The sequence below is a fragment of the Homo sapiens genome, chromosome 17 (assembly GCF_000001405.40).
Source record: "Homo sapiens chromosome 17, GRCh38.p14 Primary Assembly".
NCBI lineage: Eukaryota > Metazoa > Chordata > Mammalia > Primates > Hominidae > Homo > Homo sapiens.
The window spans coordinates 70,286,777-70,310,391 of record NC_000017.11 but is presented as its reverse complement, the minus strand read 5'-3'; the positions used below and the strand labels follow the sequence as shown (position 1 = coordinate 70,310,391).

Here is a 23,615-nt window from a genome sequence, read left to right as displayed (position 1 = left end):
CCACTTAAAGAAAAAGCCACAGAATGTGGGCTTGCCAACCTCAGCAGCCGCTAGTCATGCTTCTGTAGGGCTGTCAGCACTCTCTAAAAAAGTAGGTTGATAAAATTAAGCAAGCAGTTTCTGCTGGCATTTTCACACCCCATGAAACACATGTTCTGTTTATAATGCAAACATGACTTCAGAGTTATGGGATCTTTTAAGGATTTATGCTGATTAAAAGATTTCTGATCTCAGGCTTATGGTCTCAAAATGTAAAACTTGGTTGAGCCTACAGCAAGCAAGCTCGGGCTTTTCTCTGAAGAGAAGTTTAGACAAATATCTAGCAAATTTGAGCCACGAAGTTAATCCTTCTACAAAAAGCAGTACTTTCCTTTGCCCTTCGAACACTCTAAAATAAATTTCTGGTCCCCGACTTAACATAGGTGCAACAATCAAATTCTGTTTAGTAGGGGTATTGTCTGCTGTGGAGAGAAAAAGAGCCTAAAGTGGAAGCTATTTTGGGGGTCACTTTTGCTTTTATATAATGTGATGATACCAAATAAAAACAAAAGTATTGTACCTAAGACAAATTCCACCAAATGTATGTATTAGTTACACTCAGTGTAGTACAGTAATTAAGAGTTAAGCTTTAAAATCTGATGGTCTGGCCAGGCATGGTGGCTTACATCTGTAATCCCAGCACTTTGGGAGGCCGAGGCGGGTGGATCACGAGGTCAGGAGATCAAGACCATTCTGGCTAACACGGTGAAACCCCATCTCTACTAAAAATACAAAAAATTAGCCGGGTGTGGTGGCGGGCGCTTGTAGTCCCAGCTACTCGGGAGGCTGAAGCAGCAGAATGGCGTGAACCCAGAAGGCAGAGCTTGCAGTGAGCCGAGATCGTGCCACTGCACTCCAGCCTGGGTGACAGAGCGAGACTCTGTCTCAAAAAAAAAAATAAAATCTGATGGCCTTTATCTGTTGGTCTTATTTTTATCTGGTTTAAAATGGGGACAACAATAGTAGTATATGCTTCACTGAGTACATATGAAGATTAAAGGAAATCATATCTAAAAAGCAAAGCTCACAGCACAAGATGAGACACATATTGCATAGTCCATATATAATAATAAAATATATGCTATATGAATGTAGAATAAAGCAGTCAGTAGGACTCAAGACTTCTAGCATATATTTATTGCACATATTCTGTATCCTGCATGGTAAAATTACTGTCAGGATGGAGAAACTCTAAGGAAAGGAGAGAAAGTTGTAGGTTCACAGAAGATGATAGGTTCTGCAGAAGAACCAATAGTGTAGCAGAGAGATTGCTAAGATTCAATATTCTGTTTTCTCCATGTCTCTGAATGTCAGTACTTTTCTCTCCAGAAAGGAAAAAAGCTGAGAAAATGGTTATATTCATGTTAAATAGAGCTCAGAACAGAAAGAGCTTATAACCTCTTCCTTTGGCCAATAGAGTTAATTCAAATTTTTCCTCCTCCTCTCTTGCTGTTTTAGGTACTAACCCAAAGTCTCAAAATGATACTCTGACTGTCTCCTTGCAGTGTCCTCTGATAGCAAAATGTCAAGTAAAGGGAATAGACATAGGCCAGAAACCTTGGGGGTGAGCCTAGCTGTGCAGCTTATTAGCGCATGACACAAAACCCTCTGATCCACAGCTTCCTCACTGAGCGTGGAGGTTTAGCTGACTTGTGGCTGTTCACATCCAGGCACTTGGCTATCTAAGTACAAAAGAAATTGTTCTTGCTGTATTTTATTATTTTTCCTTTCCAGAAAAGTTATATTTATAAATGTCATAGTACATAGCTGAAAAATGACTGAAAAACTAACCTGAAATTGTGTAGGCTATAATCTCAGGCTGCTTTGAGCTTTTGTTTTAGAGAATTCTGGAGGGCCAGGCTCTGTATTTTTTTTTTAATTTTCACATAATTTGTTCAGAAAAGCACAAGGTGAAAATGCCTCAATCTTGGACAAAGCTGTCCTACTTTCATATAAAAAAGGGAATATTAAAATGTGACAATTGTGATTATTGAGAGAGTTTAGTATAGCTGTGTCCTCGGTCGAAAACACTCCTGTTAAAATCATTGTTTTTTCCATCCAACCTCATAGGTTCTTAGGAAGTCATAGGCAATGGGAATGACTCTTGAAGGTCATTTTTCTTAAATCAACCATACCTTCTCTGTTCACCTTCTATCTAACTCCCCTGTCTTGCTTTCTCTTTAAACTTTACATGACTGAAATGGAATGAATCAACCTACTCTGAAAGCCCATTTCCCAGTCCCCAGTGGGCTCTATTTGAACTTTATTACTTTTAAAGTATACATCATGCTTCCAGTAACATGAAAAGAAAATGACCTCAGAGTGGCAGCCTCTGAGTTTAAAAGATTTGGACTCTAGAGCAGAAAATCTCTTGTTATGCTCCTCAACTGAAAAGGCTGCAAAGCCTCAATGTATGTTGAAGAGTTTTTATTCTCCTGTAAGAAAAAAAAAAAAATAGAGGATGTTTATATCTTTGCTGAAATCCTAAAAAGACCCAGGTAGAAAAGTTTCCATTCCAAGTCTCTGTTCCTGTTGTGTCATTTTAAGTAGAATAAATGAACAGGATCTGATCACAGTCTTGTGAATGTGAAATAACTCTTGAGTGATGGGAAACAGCACAACCACCCCCTTCTGTCTGCATCACTAGTCTCCAGGGGTACCCTGGAACACTGCCCATGGATCATCATTCTTCCCTTCCCATCCCTACGGTTGCTTTGCAATGAGGCTGATACATGGAGCTCAGGCATTTGTGGCACTCGGCCTCCAAAGCATTCTGGACTGGGCTGGGGGTGAAGAAGGTGATTCAGAGCCAAAGCACGGCTCTGCTGCCAGAGGTCCAGTACTGATGGCTGCTGCCTGGGTTTGCCTAGTAAGGGCTGCAGTCTCATTTCAACAGTAAAAATATTAGGGAGGAAGAGAGGTTGAAGTTCCTAAACCTACCCTCATAAACCATCACCTCTGACTGTCTACCCTTCAGTCCTGCTGAGTGGATTTGGGTGCTTCTCACTGACCCCATTCATGTTCTAAATAAGCAAATGGATGCTTGGTTTAGAAAGATCAGGTTGTATGGAAGTGAACTGATCTAACTTAATTGTTGTGAGGAGAAGGCCTGACATCTGTGGGCAGGGAGTAGGGTCTCTATGAAAAGTGCCCATTTCTGAAATCAGTTACCTAAAGAACAAGCCAAGTATCTGTCAGTCTTAAATGGGGAGGGTACCTCTGTGGGAGGTGAGAGGAAGCTTCAGCGTCTCTCTCAGCTGGGCTAAGGAGCACCTAGGCATCTAAGATTGTGCCCTGGATATCACATATTAAATATGGGATTCAGCACACAGAACAGTGGTTCTTTTTGGGGTCATAAGTCTCAACTATGGGGGCTCTACCTAGAAAAAAATGCATGTAATTATAAGCATACCTATTTTGCAAATAATTTCAGGTATTTGCAGGATCACTGAGACCCATTCCTTGGACCCCAAAGTAAGAAAGATGTGAGATGCTGGAACCTGGTGAAGGGGAAACCGAAAGTTTCCATTTGGATATAATGATCCTGCGACTCAGACAAGGAAGCCAGATTTTCTTGTTCCATGGTGATTTCCCTGTAGAAAAGATTTTCAATGTAAAGAAAATTTCAAAGAAAAGGCCTTTGTTATGTTTCAGATTCAGTTTAGTCGACATGGCAAAATCAAGGGAAATATTCTTGGCGAAGAGGAAGCTCCCTCCCTTTCCCTTCCCTCCATCCCTGGGCCAGTACATTACATGGCTGCAATCCAGAGAATTTTAGAGACAGGGTTTGTCCCTAATACCTGATATTAAACTCTGATTTCTTTGCTAATCTTGGGATGGCTGAGTCATAGTATATAGGCTAACTTTTCACATTTTGGGTCCTTTTGTTTGTTTGTTCTAAAAATTTCCTGCTCAGTGTCTCCTGGTTGCCTATAAACCTGATTTCCAAACTCCTCATGATACAGTTTAAATAGCAGGTATCCCTACTGCCTTATATGTAAACACTCAGCATCTCAAACTTGCCCTCCAGTCAAAGGTCAAATTACTTTAATCACTCATATAACAGAAAACATTGGAATTCCAGTTGTGTGTGTTGGGGGAGAGTGTGGGGGGGTGTGTGTTTTGGTTTCATTCACCATCCAGTTCCTAGCTTTACCTCAACCCTTGTTCCTCCTAAACTGACTCTTTTCAAAAAGCTGAATTCTAACCTTTCTACAAAGCCTTCCAGAACAACTTCACTCCCACCCTAAGATGATCCCTCTTGCCTCAAAACCTAATAATATGTATTTCCTAAATTTATTTAGTAATGAATATAATCAATAGTACATATCCTTACATATCCTTTTCACAATGGCCTTAAACTATAATTCAAAACTTTACTTTTTTTTTTTTTTTTGGTTTCCCCAGCTATGTTTCAGTCTTCGTTAAGTAAGGAATATGTGGTAAGCGTTCTTATAATGCAGTGGCTGGCAAAGTATCTGAACTTTTTAATGTACAAAGATATGTGCAGATTGTTTCACTGCTTTGTAGAGAAATTATTTATTTCCTAACTCTTGGTAAATGTTCTACAGTAGCATTTAACACCCAGACTCCCTGACAAAATAACACATAGAACATAAAAGCATCAATGCCACTTTCTGCCAATTGACACCAAGGGCAAATGCATTTTGTTTCAAGATGCTCTAAATTTTTTTGTTATTAACAGTTATTTCAATATAAAACTTTTGCTTTTAGAATGCAGGTCATGCACCAAATTTGAATTTGAATTTATAAAAATAATAGTCTCATTACACCTATCTTTTACAAATTATTATTGTCCATCTTGTATGCCACTGCCCTAGTGCTGAATGGTTACCTTAATTTGTATTGTGTTCTTCTAGCAAATTCCCTATGACTATTAACGAATACTTCCAATTCTCTTCCACTTCCCAGAAATGATTCATCTTCTCTCACTTTCAATAAATCTTTGGTTCTTTACTGAGAAAATTCAAATCATATTAATTATCTGTTGCTGTATAACAATCACCCTAACTTAGTGACTTAAAACGATAACCACTTAATGTGCTTATGACTCTGTGGGCTGGTTTGCCAGGACTCAGTGGGAATGCCTATCTCTTCTCCATGTGCCGGCAGCTGGGCTTGGTCAGGTGCATGCAATCTAGGCTGGAGGATCCAAAATGGCTTCTCTCATGATCTTGTTCCTGTGCTGGGGTAGCTGGAATATTGAAGCCAATCACTTCTCGTGGTATTTCATTTTCTGTGGTCTTCCACCCCTTGTGGACTTTCACCCTTCAGAATGTCACACTCTCCATCTGGTCTCTCTAGCAGGGTAGCCAAAATTATTTACATGGTTGATCAAGACTCAAAAAAAAAGTAGCGTCTGCCAAAAGTCTTATGGCCTAGAAATATAAATACAGGAAGAAATACATGTAGGAATTTAATATATGCTAAATTCTATGATCTGAATTATTGAGTAAACTGATATACTTTAGTAAATGATGTTGAAGCCATTAATTTATCATTAGGAAAAAGAAATCTAGCTGCATCAAAGATTATAATGTAATAATTTAAAACGTAACCATAAAAAATACTTTTTTTCCTCACAATGTGATAGAAAGTTTAAACTTGAAATTTAAAAAAAAGACATAAATGAGAACTCTAACTAGTTTGACAGAACTTATAATATTCAAGCTGTAAAATGGATACCAAAACCTGATACTCCTCCTCCACTTAGGATGGCCAAATCTGTAAGAAAATGTTGCTTCCACCCTAAGAAGGAGAAAAACAAAGGCCAGATAATTTATAAATCATAACCTTTTTTTGAGTTTATTAGAGACCAGAAGTTGCACAGCAACCAGGTGAATTGAATTCCAAAGTGTAGCAGCTAACAGCCCCTCTGAGGAGAGATGGAACAAAAGAGCAGTTGAGCACAGTATGAGAGGGAGAAGGAGCCCCCATAATAGCAGGTAAGAAGAAAACAGCCAGATCTTTAGTGAGCTCAAAAAGCCAACACGATAGTTAGAATAGCTAGGAGCCCCAGGCTTGCAGGGAGTCCACACTCCCGATTTCCTTTTCATGAGACTCTTCTACTGTGCTCTTGGGAAAGATTAGGGGCAGGGCAGGAGACCTAAGAGAGGAGAGCCCTCCTCAGTGGCACTCAGCATGAAACCTCACCCTTGAAATCCCACTTCCTTGAAACCTCTCCTACAAAGTGAATGTCTTGTCATTGTGGTAGGGTAGGCAATCTTCCTGTCCCCAAGGCTCAGAGAAAAACCCACCACCTCTGAAAGAGGAGCAAAACAAGAGCCATCTGCTATAGAAGGACATATGCTACCAAGGATAGAAATCCCTGCTGCCCACAGTCCTAATCAAAGGTAAAAGACAGGAAGAAAGAAAAAAAAAAAAAAACAGTACGGAGATAAAGCAGTCAACAAAATGAGATTTAGATATTATTAGGCTGATGTATGTTAACATATCTAATGGGAAACGTGAACAACATGTATGAACAGATGGGAAAGTATTACAAATAAAATAAAATGGAAATGCTAAGGGGAAAATAAACAGCCTAACATCAGAAATAAAGACGTGTTCCATGAGTTTATCAGCAGATGTGATGATGATCAAGGAGTCAAAGAACTTGAAGATTGGTCACATATATTATCCAAACAGAAAAAAATAGAGAGCTATAGGAAAGATTAAGGAGTTCAACATATACACAATATCAGTCCCAATAAAAGAAAAGATATTTGGAGAGAGAAAGACAATGAATTTCCTAATTTTAAGGGAAAAAAATTAAACCACAGATTGATAAATTTCAGAGAACTCCAAGCGGTTTTTAAAAAAAGATGCAGACACTTCATAGCCAGAGCGCGCAAAACTAAGTATAAAGAGGGAATCTTATGACAAAACAAGACTAAAGAATCATTACATATAGAAAAGCAAAGATAAGAATAGTAACAGATTTCTTTCAGAAACTGTATAAGCCAGTTTAAAGATGGAACAACATCTTTAAAATTGGGGGGAAATTTCAATCCATAATAGTTAATCACAGTGAAAATATCTTCCAAAACTGGAGGGTCTGTAAACCTTTTAATTTTTTCAGATACACAAAGACTGTAAGATTATATTGGTAGATTCCTGTATTATAAAAAGGTCAATGAATGTTACACTAGCAGAAGATTATAGAATCAGATGAAAATTTTGACCTATTCAAAAGGAAGAATATCAGAAATAATTTTTTAAAAGAGGATTTTTTAAAACCAAAAGCATGGTATTGTTTGTTTACTATTTATGTACTCCTTAAAGAAAAATTGGATTTCTAAATAAAAACTACAATATGTTGTGGAGCTTATCCCATTTTTAGTAGTTATGATGCCAATAGCATGAGGGATGGGAGGGAGAAAATGAAAATCTTTTAAGGTTTTTTGTTTTATGATAAATGGGATGATATTAGAAAATAAATAACAAGTTAAAGATCTATATTTTAAATAATACAGCAACTGGAAAATACATAAAAAGAAGAAATAAATAAGCCAATAATGAAAATTAAGAAAATTATAAAAATTCTTAATGCAAAATAATATGGAAAAAATGGAACAAAAAGACATAAGACAACAAATCAGTAGCAAGATAGTAGATTCAAATATTATATCAACAATTACATTAAATACTCAATATATATACACTCCAATTAGAAAACAGAGATTGTCAGATGGGAAAAACAAAGACTTATTATGCTGTCAATAAGACAGTCACATAAATTGTTTAAAAGTAAACAGATGAAAAAAGATCATGCAAGTTCTAAGCAAAGGAAAGCTAAAGTAGCTCTATGAGATCAGAAAAGCAGACTTCAAACTGTTACAAAATTTAAAAGGTTCAGTACATATCAAATGTACCATTGTGGTGTGAGACATTGACAGTAGGAGAGACTGTTGTATGTGTGGGAACAAAGGGTACATGGGAACTGTCTGTACTTTCTGTTCAATTTCGCTGTGAACCTAAAGCTGATTTAAAAAATAAAGTTTATTAAAAATAATCATGAAGAAGGAACCATGCATAATGATAAATGGGTGAAAAAATGAGTAAGAGATAATATTCCTAAATATGTGGGTACTTAATCCCAGAACTTCAAAATATATAAAGCAAACACAGGTAAAACTAAAAAAGGAGAAAGAGACAAATCCACAACTATAGTTGGAGACTTCACCACACCTCTCTCAGAAATTGATAGAGCAAGAATATAATAAATTAATAAGGAAAGAGAAGATCTAAACCACGCTATCAACCATCTTGACCTAATTGAGGTTTATAGAAAAGCACTGCACCCAGCAATAGTACAATGGACATTATTATTAAGAGCATACTATTTACCAAGGCAAAACATATTCTGTGCCTCAAAACAAAGCTTTAAAATGTACAAGAATTAAGACTATACAAAATATGTTCTCTGAACTACATGGGAATCAAGCTAGAAATAAATGAGAAAGATATTTGGAAAATACTAACATTTTGTATATTAAACTACCAAACTGTAATGATACATGGGTCAAAGAAGAAATCACAAGAAAATTTAGGAAACAGTTAGTTGAATGAAAATTGAACAAAATATCAACATTTGTGGGATGCAATCAAAGTGATACTTAGAAGGGTATTTACAGCAATAAATGCTTCTACTAAAACATAAAGATTCAAGTCAATGATCTAGGCTTACCTCTTAGAAACTGAAAAAAGAAGAGCAAATTAAACACAAAGTAAGCAGAAAAAAGAATACTAACATTAATAGAAAAAAAAATCAAAGAAAGAGAAAACACACAAGGAATAAAAAACAATAAAACCAAAAGCTGTTTGAAAAAAATCAAATGATACACCTCTATCCATACTGATCAAGAAGTATAATAATTTACAAATATGAGTGCTGAAAGACTGCATATTGCTACAGATCTTATTTTAAAATGTCGATAAGGTGACATTACAAAAAATGTTTGTGTCAAGAAATCTGATAACATATGAAATGAATGAAGCATTTGAATTATGCTACTATCAAATCTCACTCAAGAAGAAATTGTCCCCATTAAATAAATTAAATTTAAAATTTAAAATTTTCCCACACAGAAAGCTCTAGGCCCAGATGGTTACACTGGTAAATTTTAGCAAAACATTTAAGGAAATGCAATAGTAATCAGACCAATCATATAGACACACACACACACAAAAAAAAAAACAGGAAGAAACACTCTCCAACTTATTTTATGAGGCCAGCATTCCCCTGTTAAGAAAACCAATCAATGACATTATGAAAACAAAACATAAGCCAATGTTTTCCCTGAAGATAGAAATATTTTCATATATAATTTTAGCAAATTGAATCCACCAATAAATATAAAAAGATAACAGAACATACTGGCATTGATCTCAGGAATGCAAAGTTGGTTTAATATTAATGAGAGGAATCAGTGCACTAGACAGTGTAAGCAAAGTAAAAAGAAAAACTACATCGATACGTGCAAAATAATACTTAACAAAATTCAATGTCTACTTATTAAAAAACTTTCAGCAGACTAGAAACAGACTGAAATTCCTGAACTTAATTAAGGACATCTATGAAAAACCTACAAGGAACCTCATACTTAATGTGAATGACTGAATACAATCCTCCTACAATGGGGAAAAAGCCAGGGATGTTTACTCTGCCCATTTTTATTTAACATTGTACTGGAGGTTCTGTCACTGCAATAAAACAAAGAGGATAAGTAAAGGCAATAGATTGGAAAAGAAGAAGTAAACCACTTTGTTCACAGAACACATTATCATTTACATAGGAAAACAACAAAGAATTTACAAGAGAGCTACCAGGACTAAGAAGTGAGGTTAACAATGTTTAAGGATGAAAGATAATATGCTACATTTCTATATATCACCATAAACACTTAAAATGGAACCCAGAACAGCATCAACAATTACAATAGCCTCAAACTCAGGAAATAATTAAAAATAAGTTTGACAAGAGATGTGCAAGATTTAAATGCCAAAACTACAAAACATCGGTGCGAAGAGCTAATTGTTAAAAAGGTACATATATGAAAAAATAATCACATATTCATTGATCAGAAAGAAGTCTCTGTATGATTAAGATGCCATTTCTCCCCATTTCAATCTACAGATTGAACCTAATACTTTGAAAAGCCCTTCCAGGCTTCTTGTGACAATTGACAAGCTGATTCAAAAAAATCATGTGGAAATACAAACGACCTAGAATAAGCAAAACCATTTTGAAAAAAACATTTTAAAAAAAGTTGGAGGAAACCCAATGCCTATTTCAAGGCTTAGTATAAAGTTGCATAATTAGGACTTGGTGGTAGTAACACTGTAATAGACATACATGTTAATGGAACAGAATGATTATTTTGTTTTCAGATAAATTTGGTGTCCATTTCTTTTAGAAAAATAATTCACAGGCCGGGCACAGTGGGTCACACCTGTAATCCCAGCACTTTGGGAGGCTGAGGCGGGCGGATCACGAGGTCAGGAGATCGAGACCATCCTGGCTAACACGGTGAAACCCCGTCACTACTAAAAATATAAAAAATTAGCCGGGCGTCGTGGCGGGCTCCTGTAGTCCCAGCTACTCGGGAGGCTGAGGCAGGAGAGTGGCATGAACCCGGGAGGCGGAGCTTGCACTGAGCGGAGATCGCGCCACTGCACTGCAGCCTGGGCGATACAGCGAGACTCCATCTCAAATAATAATAATAATAATAATAATAATAATAATAATAATAATAATTTACTTCCAGTTAAGCCATTCATCCCAACTCTCTTCTGTACTCCTTTACACAGCTGACTTTCACAACAGCCCTCCTCCTGGGAGCGTCCTCCCTCCCGTCTCTACAGAAACTGCTTCCCTTTCAGGGGATTTCTGAAGCTTTTTTGCCAAACCCAATGACTACATTCTCTCAAAATGAATTTTCCCTTTTCTGAGAAAGTTGACAGAATTTGTCACCTCTTCCTTTTTGAAACTCTCATTTCAGCTTCTAATATCATGTTTTTCTGGTTTTTTTCCCCCCAAGGTTACGTGCTTAGCTCTCTATTTTGCAAGTTCTTTCAATTTGGTTTCTATATCTTTAGTCGTCACCTTCGTGAACCATTCTCAAATTCCCAAATGCAGCCTCAACTCGTTTAGCAAAATTCACTCCATAGTTTTGTCCTTCGAGTGTCTATGATAAAGTCTTCATATGGATAACCTGTCCTCTCTTTAAATGCTCCAAATATGCTTATCATTTTTATTTACATACACCCACACATTCTTAATTTCTCTCTCTATATTGCTGTCACTCTTACACTCTCTCGGCTAATATGATACAATTTCCTCAGCTTCAAAAATTGGAGGGGAATCACCATCTATTCCTGAATGAGTCAGTTGTCAATGGTGATCGAGACTTCTTGAACATTTCTCACCTTCATTTTATTCTCCTTCTTTTTTTTTTTGAGACGGAGTCTCACTCTGTCGCCCAGGCTGGAGTGCAGTGGTGCGATCTCCACTCACTGCAACCTCCAGCTCCTGGGTTCAAGCAATTCTCTGCCTCAGCCTGCTGAGTAGCTGGGATTACAGGTGCCCACCACCATGCCCAGCTAATTTTGTTTTTTTAGTAGAGACAAGGTTTCACCATCTTGACCAGGCTGTTCTTGAACTCCTGACCTCGTGATCCACCCGCCTTGGCCTCCCAAAGTGCTGGATTACAGACATGAGCCACCACGCCTGGCCTATTCCCTTTCTTATCAAGCTTCTAACTTGGCCATTTTCTTGCTCAGAGAACTTCAATTGCAATACTTTCACATTATTTTCCTTATTTTTTTGTGTCTCCAATTATGGCACTACTCAGTACACAAACATTTCATATTCCAGCCTCATTTGTGTAGATATTTACTCCTTAATTATTCCTGAGTTAAAAAAGATTTATTTTTATTGTTCTGCCACCTCTAGATGACTTAAAAAAAAATCTAGAGTAGGAAACAAACGTGAAAACAAGTAATGTATATAATGTAATATAGTAGGCAGTATAAAAGCAACTTTAATTTGGCAAGATAAGTGAGGGCTAATTGCCTCTTTATTAAAGGTAGTAAAAGATACCAAGAGGAGATGATATCTAATGTGGCCCTTAAGAGTTACAGGATGGGCTGGGCACGGTGGCTCATGCCTGTAATCCCAGCACTTTGGGAGGCCGAGGCAGGCAGATCACAAGGTCAGGAGTTTGAGGCCAGCCTGGCCAATATGGTGAAACCCCATCTCTACTAAAAATACAAAAATTAGCCGGGCGTGGTGGCAGGCTCCTGTAATCCCAGCTACTTGGGAGGCTGAGGCAGGAGAATCACTTAAACCCAGGAGGTGGAGGTTGCAGTAAGCCGAGATCATGCCACTGCACTTACAGGATGGATTGTAGTAAATGATAAAGAAGGGATTTGACCGGAGGAATAAAATGTTAACATGTGCAAAGTCCTCATGCCTGACAGCCCATGATGTATCGTGGCAAGATGGAGTTCAGAACTTCTAGTGGCCTTCTCTCATAACTGAGAAAGACCACATGCTGCCTGTGCTCCTAGGTTCATCAGCAAATCTTTTTCATCTTCTAATTCTAATTCATGCTGATCCCTACCTTCTTTTATAAAGTCTTATGAATGGCTTATTTCACCTTTTTTCAAGAATTTCGCTATGAACTATTTTGCATTAGCCACAGCCTATGCTATTTTGGTGGTAATATTGTGGGTGTTTCCTGTCCAGATTGTAAGAATCTGAGGATGAGAAATAGTGATTTACTTTTCTCCTTTCCCCTCCTTTTACTCCCTCCTTCTGTCTGCCTCACTGCCATGCACATAAAAACTCCCTGCAATTATTATGGATTTGGCTTTCTATACTTGGGAAGTAGAAGTAACATAGACGTTATTAACTTCAGTGGTCTTCAACCCTAGTTACTCCTTAGAATCACTTGGGTAGATTTAACATATAATGATTTATGTAATGTCTGAATCCCATCCTCTTTTCAATTAAATCCGAGCTCTTGAGCGAGAAGCTGAGCATTGATGCATCTGTATCTATATCTATCTGTGTATATGTATATATATACACACATGTGTGTGTATATATACACACACATGTGTGTGTATATATATATAAAACCTATATCTACAACTATATGTGAGCCTGATAGATAAGGTTGAAAAGTCTTGATATATATATATTTTTAAATAATTTATTGATATATAATGTACATATTTGGGGGTACTTGTGATATTTTGAGATGTGTATACAATATGATCAAATCAGGGTAATTAGGATATCCACCACCTCAAATATTTGTCATTTCTTTGTGTTGGGAATATTATAATTCTGCTTTTCTAGCTATTTTGAAATATATAGTAAATCATTGTTAAATATAATTTCCCAACTATACTCTCAAATACTAGAGCATATTCCTTCTCTCAACCTGTACATTTGTACCCATTAACTAACTTCGTTCCCCTCTCTCCTCCCTTCCCAAGCTTTGGTAACCACTATTTTACTCTCTGCCTCTTTTAAATCTGCCTTTTTGGCTCTCACATATGAGTGAGAACAAGCAATATTTGTCTTTCTGTGCCTGGGTTATTTCATTTAACATAATTATCTCTGGTTTCATCCATGTTGTTTCCTGTCACAGGATTTCCTGCTTTTTCATGGCTGAATAGTATTCCATTTTGTGTATAGGCCACATTTTCTTTATTCATTCATCAATTGATGGACAGGTAGTTTGGTTCCATATTTTGGCTCTTGTGAATAGGGCCACTATAAACATGAGTACGTGTGTCAACATCTCTTCAATATGCTGATTTCCTTTCTTTTGGATATATTCTTAACAGCAGGATTGCTGGATCATACACTCTTTTATAGATGGGAAGCTTGAGTCTAGGAGAGGTAAAATAATTTAAGCCAAGTCACTTAATTTGAGGCAAAGCTGCAAATGGGAGCCAGATCTCCTGACTCCTGGTAGGAAACTTTGATTTATGCCCTGCTTTCTCTCATGAACCAACTCTATCCTCCTTTTGAATGAGATGATTAAATTCTCCCCATTTCAGTGAACCTTTGAGACATCAAACCTATTTTAACGAAGATAACAGTATATGACATTCTTTAGTTATTGCAGTCTCCCTTCCCCAACGTGCCAGGCTATTTTTACCAAAGTACATTTGGGGTACGTGCAAAACCCCGAAATAAAGAACTACTAAAGTGGATCCTACTTTCAAAAGAAAAGCATAAAGGTGTAAATCTATGGAGAAAACTTTATTGGAAAAAAGTGTATCTTAGGTCATATAAAAGCAGCTCCAAAGTTACATGAGGAAGCAGAGAACCAGCTGAAACTTCTCCAAAATGCCACATGGCACAGCCCAAGCCAAAGCAACAAGGGTGTCCTTCATATGACACTTGAGTGGCTCTGATAAACTATAGCAGGTGGGAGCAATGTGAGCAGATGGAAATAGAGCCATGGGACTGAGTGGTTTTATATATGTATATATTTATTTATTTGTGATTGCTATGGACTATTAATATAGTTCTATGTTTGTTCTCATTAAGTACCTTGAGTGCAGAGCCCCATTGTTACCTCATTGTTTCCCAGTCATGAGAAGTAGGACATTCAGGACTTTACTTCTCTAAATCTCATTGTAAACTACCTGGCTTTCTTTTTCCTTTATCCCCTTTGATGCATTGTCTAATATATTTCAATTCCCAAGGATTCTTTCCCCTGTGAATTTTTTTTTTCTGTAGAGGTCATTGCTTAATCCCTCAAAAGTTTGCAATTTCTCAACATTATTTCCTCTTTGGCTCACAGTGGTAGATAATGTTTCTTTTAAGTTCTCCATTTACAAGAGAAACTGGAAATACTAAAATACCCTGTAGTGTGTTTTTCTTAAACTGAAGTAAACGTGCCCTCAGGGAGTAGGTATTGACTTGGTGTCTTTTTTATACATGTTGTCATTTCATAGACACTGGCTGAAAGTAAAGAACACCAATAAAGTCCTTATTTACCCTAATGAAGAGATGAAAGGGAATGAGTTATTGAAATGGCATAGGTAAAAGATTTCTATAATTTTTGGATCGGGAACTTTTTTTTTGCATTTAAGCATAATGTATCTGTGGGCTTTTTGGTATAAAATATAGCTTCAAGTAAAATATTGAAGACAATATCTAAACATTTGACCAATAAGTAGCCACAAGTTGCCTAACCATGTACAATAATCCCCTCTCCTCAACTAGAGGAAAAGGGTATAAGCTGAGAAAACCACTGATGTCTCAGCCTGTAGAAGTAAACACCTGCAATGTATTTAGGACTAGGGGCAGTAATTGGTGAAATATTCGAGTTCCAGATCCCTGCTGGGATGGATATTGAATCTAAATTTAGATAAATTAAAGAACAAGCTCGCAAAAGAGGGTATGATTTAGCAAGCTACTTCAGGTATTGTCAATATAATTAAAAGCCCATTTGCCAAACATTTGCTGTCAGAAAAAAAATGCCTACAGAAAACCGAGTATTTTCTTCTTTCAGTTGGAGATTTCCTATCTCTGGCCTTCATTGTCCCCATTGTTCATTCACTGTTTTTTAAAATACACAGTAGGAAAACTTTAGCTCTCTATCTGCTCATACATAAATTTATCTTGTGTTTATAATACTTTGAATATTGAGAGGATTTCAAGTTTCTTATGATCAGAAGCTCTGAAAAATAAATTTATTTATTCGTTATTGCTATTGACTATTAATAGAGGTAATTATTCCTAAAAAACCTTAAGAAATTACCTTAATCTTTCCTAAGCATGAGTTTCTTTTTCTTTTCTTTCTTCTTTTCTTTTTTTTTTAAGTTCCAGAGTACAAGTGCAGGAAGTACAGGTTTGTTACATAGGTAAACTTGTACCATGGTGGTTTGCTGTACCTATCAACCCATCATCTAGGTATTAAGCCCAGCATTCATTAGCTCTCTTCCCTAATGCTCTCCTTCCCTCCATCCTCTCCAGACAGGCCCCAGTGTGTGTTGTTCCCCTCTCTGTGTCCATGTATTCTCATTCAGCTCTCACTTACAGGTGAGAACATGTGGTGTTTGGTTTTCTGTTTCTGTGTTAGTTTGCTGAGGATAATGGCTTTCAGCTTCATCCATGTCCCTGCAAAGGACATCATCTCATTCCTTTTTTCTGGATGCATAGTATTCCATGGTGTATATGTACCACATTTTCTTTATCCAGTCTATCATTGATGGACATTTAGGTTGATTCCATGTCTGTGCTATTGTGAATACTGCTGCAATGAACATATGTGTGCATGTAACTTTATACTAAAATGATTTATATTCCTTTGGGTATATACCCAGTAATGGGATTGCTAGGTCAAAAGGTATTTCCGGTTCGTCAAAAGGTATTTCCGGTTCTAAATCTTTGAGGAATGGCACCCTGTCTTCCACAACAATTGAACTAATTTACATTCCCACCAACAGTGTAAAAGCATTCCAATTTCTCTGCAATCTTGTCAGCATCTGTCATTTCCTGACTTTTTAATAATCACCATTCTGACTGGGGTGAGATGATATCTCATTGCGGTTTTGGTTTGCATTTCTAAGCATGAATTTCTTGATCACTGTAAGTGATAGGAATACTTGTAGTACCCGAATCATATCATTGTTCTGAGAATTCACTTGAATCACTGATTTAGATGATTAATGACTGACATGTAGTAAGCACGCAGTTGATAATGTAATGATGATGACAACCAATTTTAGTTAAGTAATAAAATATATTACTAAATTACAGGTGGAATAAATTTATAGTACAAATATCTCTTCATTTCTAATTACTTTTAAAATAACACAATACGTCTGATTTCCCCTGATGTTAAAATTGACAATACTGAGATAAATATTAAAAGTTGAAGTATCATTTTGAATTTAATGTAAGAATATCAATCAATCAATTGAGATTGTTGATTGACTATAATCAATCAATAGGTATGTGAAGTACATTTATATCTGTCAACCCTGGATTTTGATACATAAGGCATGTGAAATTACAAGAAATTGATTTGAGCAAAACACACTCAATATAGCCTCCCTTTATAACCTTGGTCTAAATTACAGCACTTTGCAGTAGATTTAAGGCTCTTGAGTAGCTCCATTGGAAGAAGAGTGATTCGTTTCTTGACGTCACATTAGAAAGAAGTAATTAGCTATAGGCTACAGTACACGGTTCCTGACATTGTTCAATAAAACATATGTGTGATTTGAATACAATTATATTCACACAAATATTGTCCCACAATGTTGCATGACACAAAATTGGAAGCTATAGCCAACATAAGATATAAAAGATCAAAATTCCACTTACCGGATTGGAGCAGTGACATTTAAGAGAACAAATAAAAAGTGTAACATTCTAATTTTAAAATAGTCACTGAACAGATACAGGATAAGTCAAACTTCCCAAACAGAAATCCAGGGAACACCACAGTTATCCAAGATATTAATGAAGCACCACCCCTTCCCTCCACAACTATACAGTAAAATGTGGTCATTTGCCCTCCCTCCTAGGAAGATACTATAATGCCTCCATCTAAATAAATAAGTAAACATTAAGTAAATAAGTAAGTAGTTGAAATAAGCCAAAACACAAAGAGCAAACAAAAAGCAGATGTAAGAAGACTCTTCTAGTTTCCATCATCTGTTACTGACATCAGCATTTACACACATCCCATACCATTGCTATACTTAGAAACATTTTGGACCGTTTTCTATCTCACCTCACAATCCAGTGATTCACAAGAAGTTAGGAAGCAGTTTTCTTCTCTCAATCTCATCTGCCCAAACTTTAATTCTGGCTCCAATCCTCATTCCTTGGGGTTTCTCCTGATTTATTGTTCTCTTCTCTAGAATCTCATTGTTAACAGCCCTTTCTTCTAAAATGCACACTGAATCCTAGCATTTCCCTGCTTAGAATTCTTCTGTAAATATCTATAACCTAACACGTAAGTCCAAATGCTTTTGCCTGTCATTAAAAGCCTTTTTAACCTCTGCTCCAGCCACTTATACCCATGCTCAGTTGTGTTGAACTATTTACATATTTCCCCAAATATTCTGATCTTTTACAAGCCAATTCCCTTTGCATTCGTTAGTCTGCCTAGAATTACCCTCATTCCCTCTGTCTTACTTTGTCAGGCTTCAAATCTAATGTCAAAAACCAAATCTATATTAAAAAAAATGACATGTTCTATTCTTTGTCTTTCTCTGGCCATGTATATAAGTTTTGTAATTTTTTTTTTTTTTTTTTTTTTTTGAGACGGAGTCTCGCTCTGTCGCCCAGGCTGGAGGGCAGTGGCACAATCTCAGCTCACTGCAAGCTCCGCCTCCCAGGTTCACGCCATTCTCCTGCCTCAGCCTCCGGAGTAGATGGGACTACAGGCGCCTGCCACCACACCCAGCTAATTTTTTCACGCCCGGTTAATTTTTTTTTTTTTTTTTTTAGTAGAGACAGGGTTTCACCATTCACAGGATGGTCTTGATCTCCTGACCCTGTGATCCGCCTGCCTCGGCCTCCCAAAGTGCTGGGATTACAAGCATGAGCCACCGTGCTCGGCTATGTTTTGTAATTTAAATATTAGTTTATATGCCTTTTTCTAAGACAATGAAAGTTGTAGAGATTTATATCACAATGACATATCCTCAGCTGCTGTAGAATAACTGCCACATTGGAGGTATGTAATAAAGATTTGGAAAATTAATGCATTAATTGATGGGATGGGCATATCTGATAATTCAGATAAAAGGATTCTTCAAGTTGTATATTAAAATTAAGAGACTGTCATTGATTAGGTCATCTCTACACTGTAATTCTTTGGGGCAATTATATTTATTTGTTTTGAGCCAACAAAAGAAGACCCAGAATTTGGTGAAGAATTACATATGACTAGGCCCTCAATATGCTTTTCTCTTGGAATGTGATTATATTTTCTAAATTCTACAAGAATAAGCATGCATTTAACTCCCACATTGGAAAGCCCTGAACTAATTTTAAGAAAATCCTAGAAGAAGCTATAGTCATTAATTTTGGTATTGATGTTTCAGAGAGAAAAACTGATCAATGAGTCTGCATATGGTTACAAAACAACAGGCAGGTTTCCAAGACAGGAATGCAGATGGTCACAATTTCACCCACAACTTATTCCCATTCTTGATCAAACAATTGCCAGAGAAATACTATTTTTAATTGAACAAGTGATTCATGTCTCTAGAGTACAGAACATGAATTTCACATAGTACAAATATCCAGCTAGGAAAAGCTCAGAAAATACACGGGTTAGTGTCCTTATCGGCCCTGAGTGTCCTGGCTTTGGAAGAACATTACATTGAGTCAGCAGTTCTTAAGTACATTTCTGGAAAACTCTCTGAAAGACATATAAATTGATTTGCTGTTGGGAAATTTCCCTCTGCTGGGTTTTATAATTTTAATCTACTAAATGGCAATTCCCAAGAAATACAGCATCTCACCAAGGCAGTAAAACCATTGGATTGGTTGGTTTCCAAGGGTACTGAAGCTAAAGTAGACTCATTTTGAAATGACTCTTGCCTGGAATCATAGAAAATAATAAAGATGAGGAAGTCTCCAATAAATTGCATTTATCATAGCAGCTCATTCAGAAGTTGAGGCTCTTAGATTATAAATTTTCAAAGATCCCTGATATTTTATCATCACGAGCTTGAGCACCGTACTGTATATCTTGTTCTATGATGGGATGATATCAAGATTTTTTAAAAATAAATATTTTAGATAGGGTTCTCCTGTTGGGAAGCAGGGACACGAAGTTGAGCAATGAAGACAGAGAGAGAAACTCTGAGCTGAGCAATGAAGAACGAGAGACTGAACTGAGAAAAAATACAGTGCTACTCATCCAGAGCTGTATTTTCACCTATTTGAACTCTGCACAGCCACTGATCTTGGTGCAGAACTGTCTGAATCACACTCTGAAGGGAGAGTCACAAAAAATAACTGAAGAAACAATGTTCTGCCCAGGCCAATTGGGTAAATTACCTTTGTGCTTTTCCATGACTTGCTCTTGCCAGATGGAATACTTGGCCCTGAAGACAGTGGCATTAGAGCAGATTTTGGAGCAGTGGGGTTTTTAAAAATGATTTACTTTTTCCTTCCACAGACAGTTACTCTGCCACAGAAGGCTTCTCTGAAGGATGAGCCCAGAGTCTTTTCCATCATATTTTGCCATTGTAAAAGTCTATCTGCTGTAGTTTCTCTATTTGCTCTGTGTATCCAAGAGAATATGGAAGAAATTTTACACTGAAGATCAAATTTTGGCACTTCCCATGTATAAACTTGAGGACTTCAGAGATGGCTCTGTGACTCTGATGAGTTGAAATAGTTCCTTTCCTTCCACGCCTGTTCCTATTATGAAATTCTATCTTTTACAACTAATGTCAATAGGGAAAAACTCAACTAGAAAATAGTGAATATTTATAGTTGCCTTCTTTCCCTACACTTGCAAGCAACCTTTGATTGTGTTTGTATAAATGCTTAGTACTTTACTATTAACCTTCCCAAATAGACTAAGACCTAATTAGAAGTCCCCTATTAACACCAAAAGAGGAATTATGGTAAGAAAAATACTTCCGTTAAAACTCAGCCATGTTAGCAATGTATGCAAGGTAGCAGCTGCCCAATTTCTGCGAAGGAAAACCTGTCTTTGGAAAAGAATCTTAACTTTTCTTTTATAAATTATCATGCACTATAAATGCAAATCTCTAAAAATTCCCTAAGACATTGTGGATTTTTAGTTTCATTTTATAGATAAGTAAATTGAGAATTAGAGAAATAAAGCAACTTACCCAAAAGCACTCCAGTAGTTTGCAGGAAAGACAGTAGATTTATCACAGGGTTCTTTACTTGAGAGTTCTGCATTCTAGCATAGCATATCCTTTCCATATTAATCACATGTAGGATACAGGAGTAAATGTTATTTTGGTGGGCCAGAAAAATGATAGTGATACATTCTTTGATGTCATTAGCAGAGTAAAATATACAGAATGATATGCCTGGCATGGTGCACTTCTACAGGGGGATATGTAGTGGAGAAAATAACAATGATAACTGCAGGATATGATTCCAATGCATGAAACTCAGCCAGAATTGGAGCCCATCAGAGCAAAATGGAACACAAGCAATCATCTAATTACATTGAACAGATTTGGCAAGAGAGGACAAGAATGAACATGTCAGTTAATTATGAATAATTATTTAACTTCTATCTGTCACAACTGTGAGAGTTACAAATAGCCTGACAATATGGGATCTTTGAAAGAGTATAAATGTATTAATACTTTTCCATATTGATCTGTTGTATATTTTGGGTAGCTGAAGTTAGATTGTTTTAAAAATTAGATGACTTTATTGGAAAATATGAAAGTGTGTGTGTGTGCACTGTCTCGCACTAGCCAACCAAAATAAAAACTGCAGTGAGTAGTAGCATAGCAGAGTTTTTGATAGTCATGACCCAACTCTGTACTTTTTGATAAGTCACTTTTCTTCGTTGGTGGTAAGTTGCTTCATAAGCATGGTGACGCAATGGCATTACACCTAAATTTCCTTATTTGTAAACTGGGAGTAACAGGAACAAAATGATTATGAGAAATACATGAGAGATAAAGCACTTAGTACAGTCCTTGTGACATAGGTCAAGCTAATATTCACTATTATTATTTTTGTTATAAATTTGATGAGCTCATTGAGCCAGATATCCTTCAAGGTACTTTTAAACACCCAACAATCTTTGTTTTCCATCTTGTGGTCCCTTGGTCCATTTTTTAAAAAATCTCTGTATATTTCCCCTACCTTGTTATATGAGGAGAGCCGTATATCTCATTTGTCATTAATATCCCTCCCTAAGGAACAATATATGCTTTGTATTCATTTGCAAAACATATTAAAATAGTGATCTCCTTTTAATCAGTGAGTCATAAAAACATGGAAGATGAGTGGAAATGAGATAGAATAATCCAAAAGTATAAGAATCATCACTTACACAGCCCCATCAGGTTTGGGCCAGATATCGTTCCCGTGATTTATAAACAATGGCCTCCCTTTTAGATTTTTAGCTTCTTGTTCACCTTTTGCTACTGATATTATCTGTGTATTTATTCAACAAATGTATTTAAAATAAATGTTATTGTGCATCTTTAAGGTATACAATATTATGTTGTGGGATACATTAAGATTGTAAAAATGTTACTATAGTGGAGCAAGTTAACATGTTCATCGTCTCACATAGTTTCCCATTTCTTTGTTGTTTTTGTGGCAAGAGCAGCAAAAATCTATTCATTAGTCATGAATCCAAAAATCCAGTACAATTTTATTACTGTAGTCTTCATACTGTGCATTAGGTCTTCAGACTTGTTCTTCCCACATATCCGCCATTTTGTATCCCCTTCCCTGCATCTCCTTGTTTCCTACTAATTGTACCTGCTTGCTCTGCAACAGGCACCATCCTTGACACTTAGATATGCAGTAAGAAAGACAGACACAATTCCTGCTGTCATAGAACTTAGAGTTTACAGAGATGAGAGACTCTCCTGATGTATCCGTAAATGTGCTGAGAGTGAGCACCAGAGAGTGCTATGTAAACGTATTTCTGGGAAGGCAGAGAGAACCAAACTTCTATTTTTCTATGGAAATAGAAGAAATGCAGCTCTGGAAAAATAATATTTAAGCTGAGTGAGAGGTGAAGGATGTATAGGACTTAGTTGAAGAAAGAAAGTATTGGGGTCAGAATACTTCAAAGAGAGAAAACCAAGAACGAAGGCCCTGAGGCAGCCCAGAGTGAGGTGAGTGTGATGAACTGAAAAATGCCCATTATGACAGCGGAACAGGTAAAAGGAATGTGATTAATATCTTAGTATATAAACCTTTATTCCAATTTCTAAGAATTTATTATTAGATTGCTTAAAGTGAAATAACTAAATTGATGCATGTTCCAAAAGTTTCCTAATATGGCAAAAGTACTTCTTAGAAAGTTTATACCAATTTTTTATTTCTATAAACTGTATATATGATGATCTTTCTCACCTTATCCTTAGAAATAGTAAGTATTCCTTTTTTTTCTTTTTTCTTTTTCTTTTTTTTTTTTTTTGAGACAGAGTCTCTCTCTGTTGCCCAGGCTGGAGTGTAGTGGCATGATCTCGGCTCACTGCAACCTCTGCCTCCTGGGTTCAAGTGATTCTCCTGCCTCAGCCTTCCTGAGTAGCTGGGATTACAGGCACGTGCCACCACACCTGGCTAACTTTTGTACTTTTAGTGGAGACAGGGTTTCCCCACATTGGCCAGGCTGGTCTTGAACTCCTAATCTCAAGTGATCCACCTGCCTTGACCTCCCAAAGTGCTGGGGTTACAGGTGTGAGCCACCGTGCCTGGCCAGTGTTCTATTTTTTAAAAAGATGAACTGGTTTAACATGCTGTATTAGTCTGTTCTCACGCTGCTAATAAAGACATACCTGAGACTGGGTAATTTATTAAGGAAAGG

General features: G+C 36.7%; 2 annotated features.

Annotated features, from left to right (window-relative positions):
* Nucleotides 11,001–11,110: an enhancer, noted in NCBI's record as "active region_12661". NCBI's record gives its function as "activates an Ori minimal core promoter by ATAC-STARR-seq in GM12878 lymphoblastoid cells {active_cell/tissue: GM12878}" and the evidence as "EXISTENCE:reporter gene assay evidence [ECO:0000049][PMID:35858748]".
* Nucleotides 16,319–16,820: an enhancer, noted in NCBI's record as "NANOG hESC enhancer chr17:68289713-68290214 (GRCh37/hg19 assembly coordinates)". NCBI's record gives its function as "activates a minimal SCP1, AML or CMV promoter by ChIP-STARR-seq in primed H9 embryonic stem cells {active_cell/tissue: H9 hESC(primed)}" and the evidence as "EXISTENCE:reporter gene assay evidence [ECO:0000049][PMID:30033119]".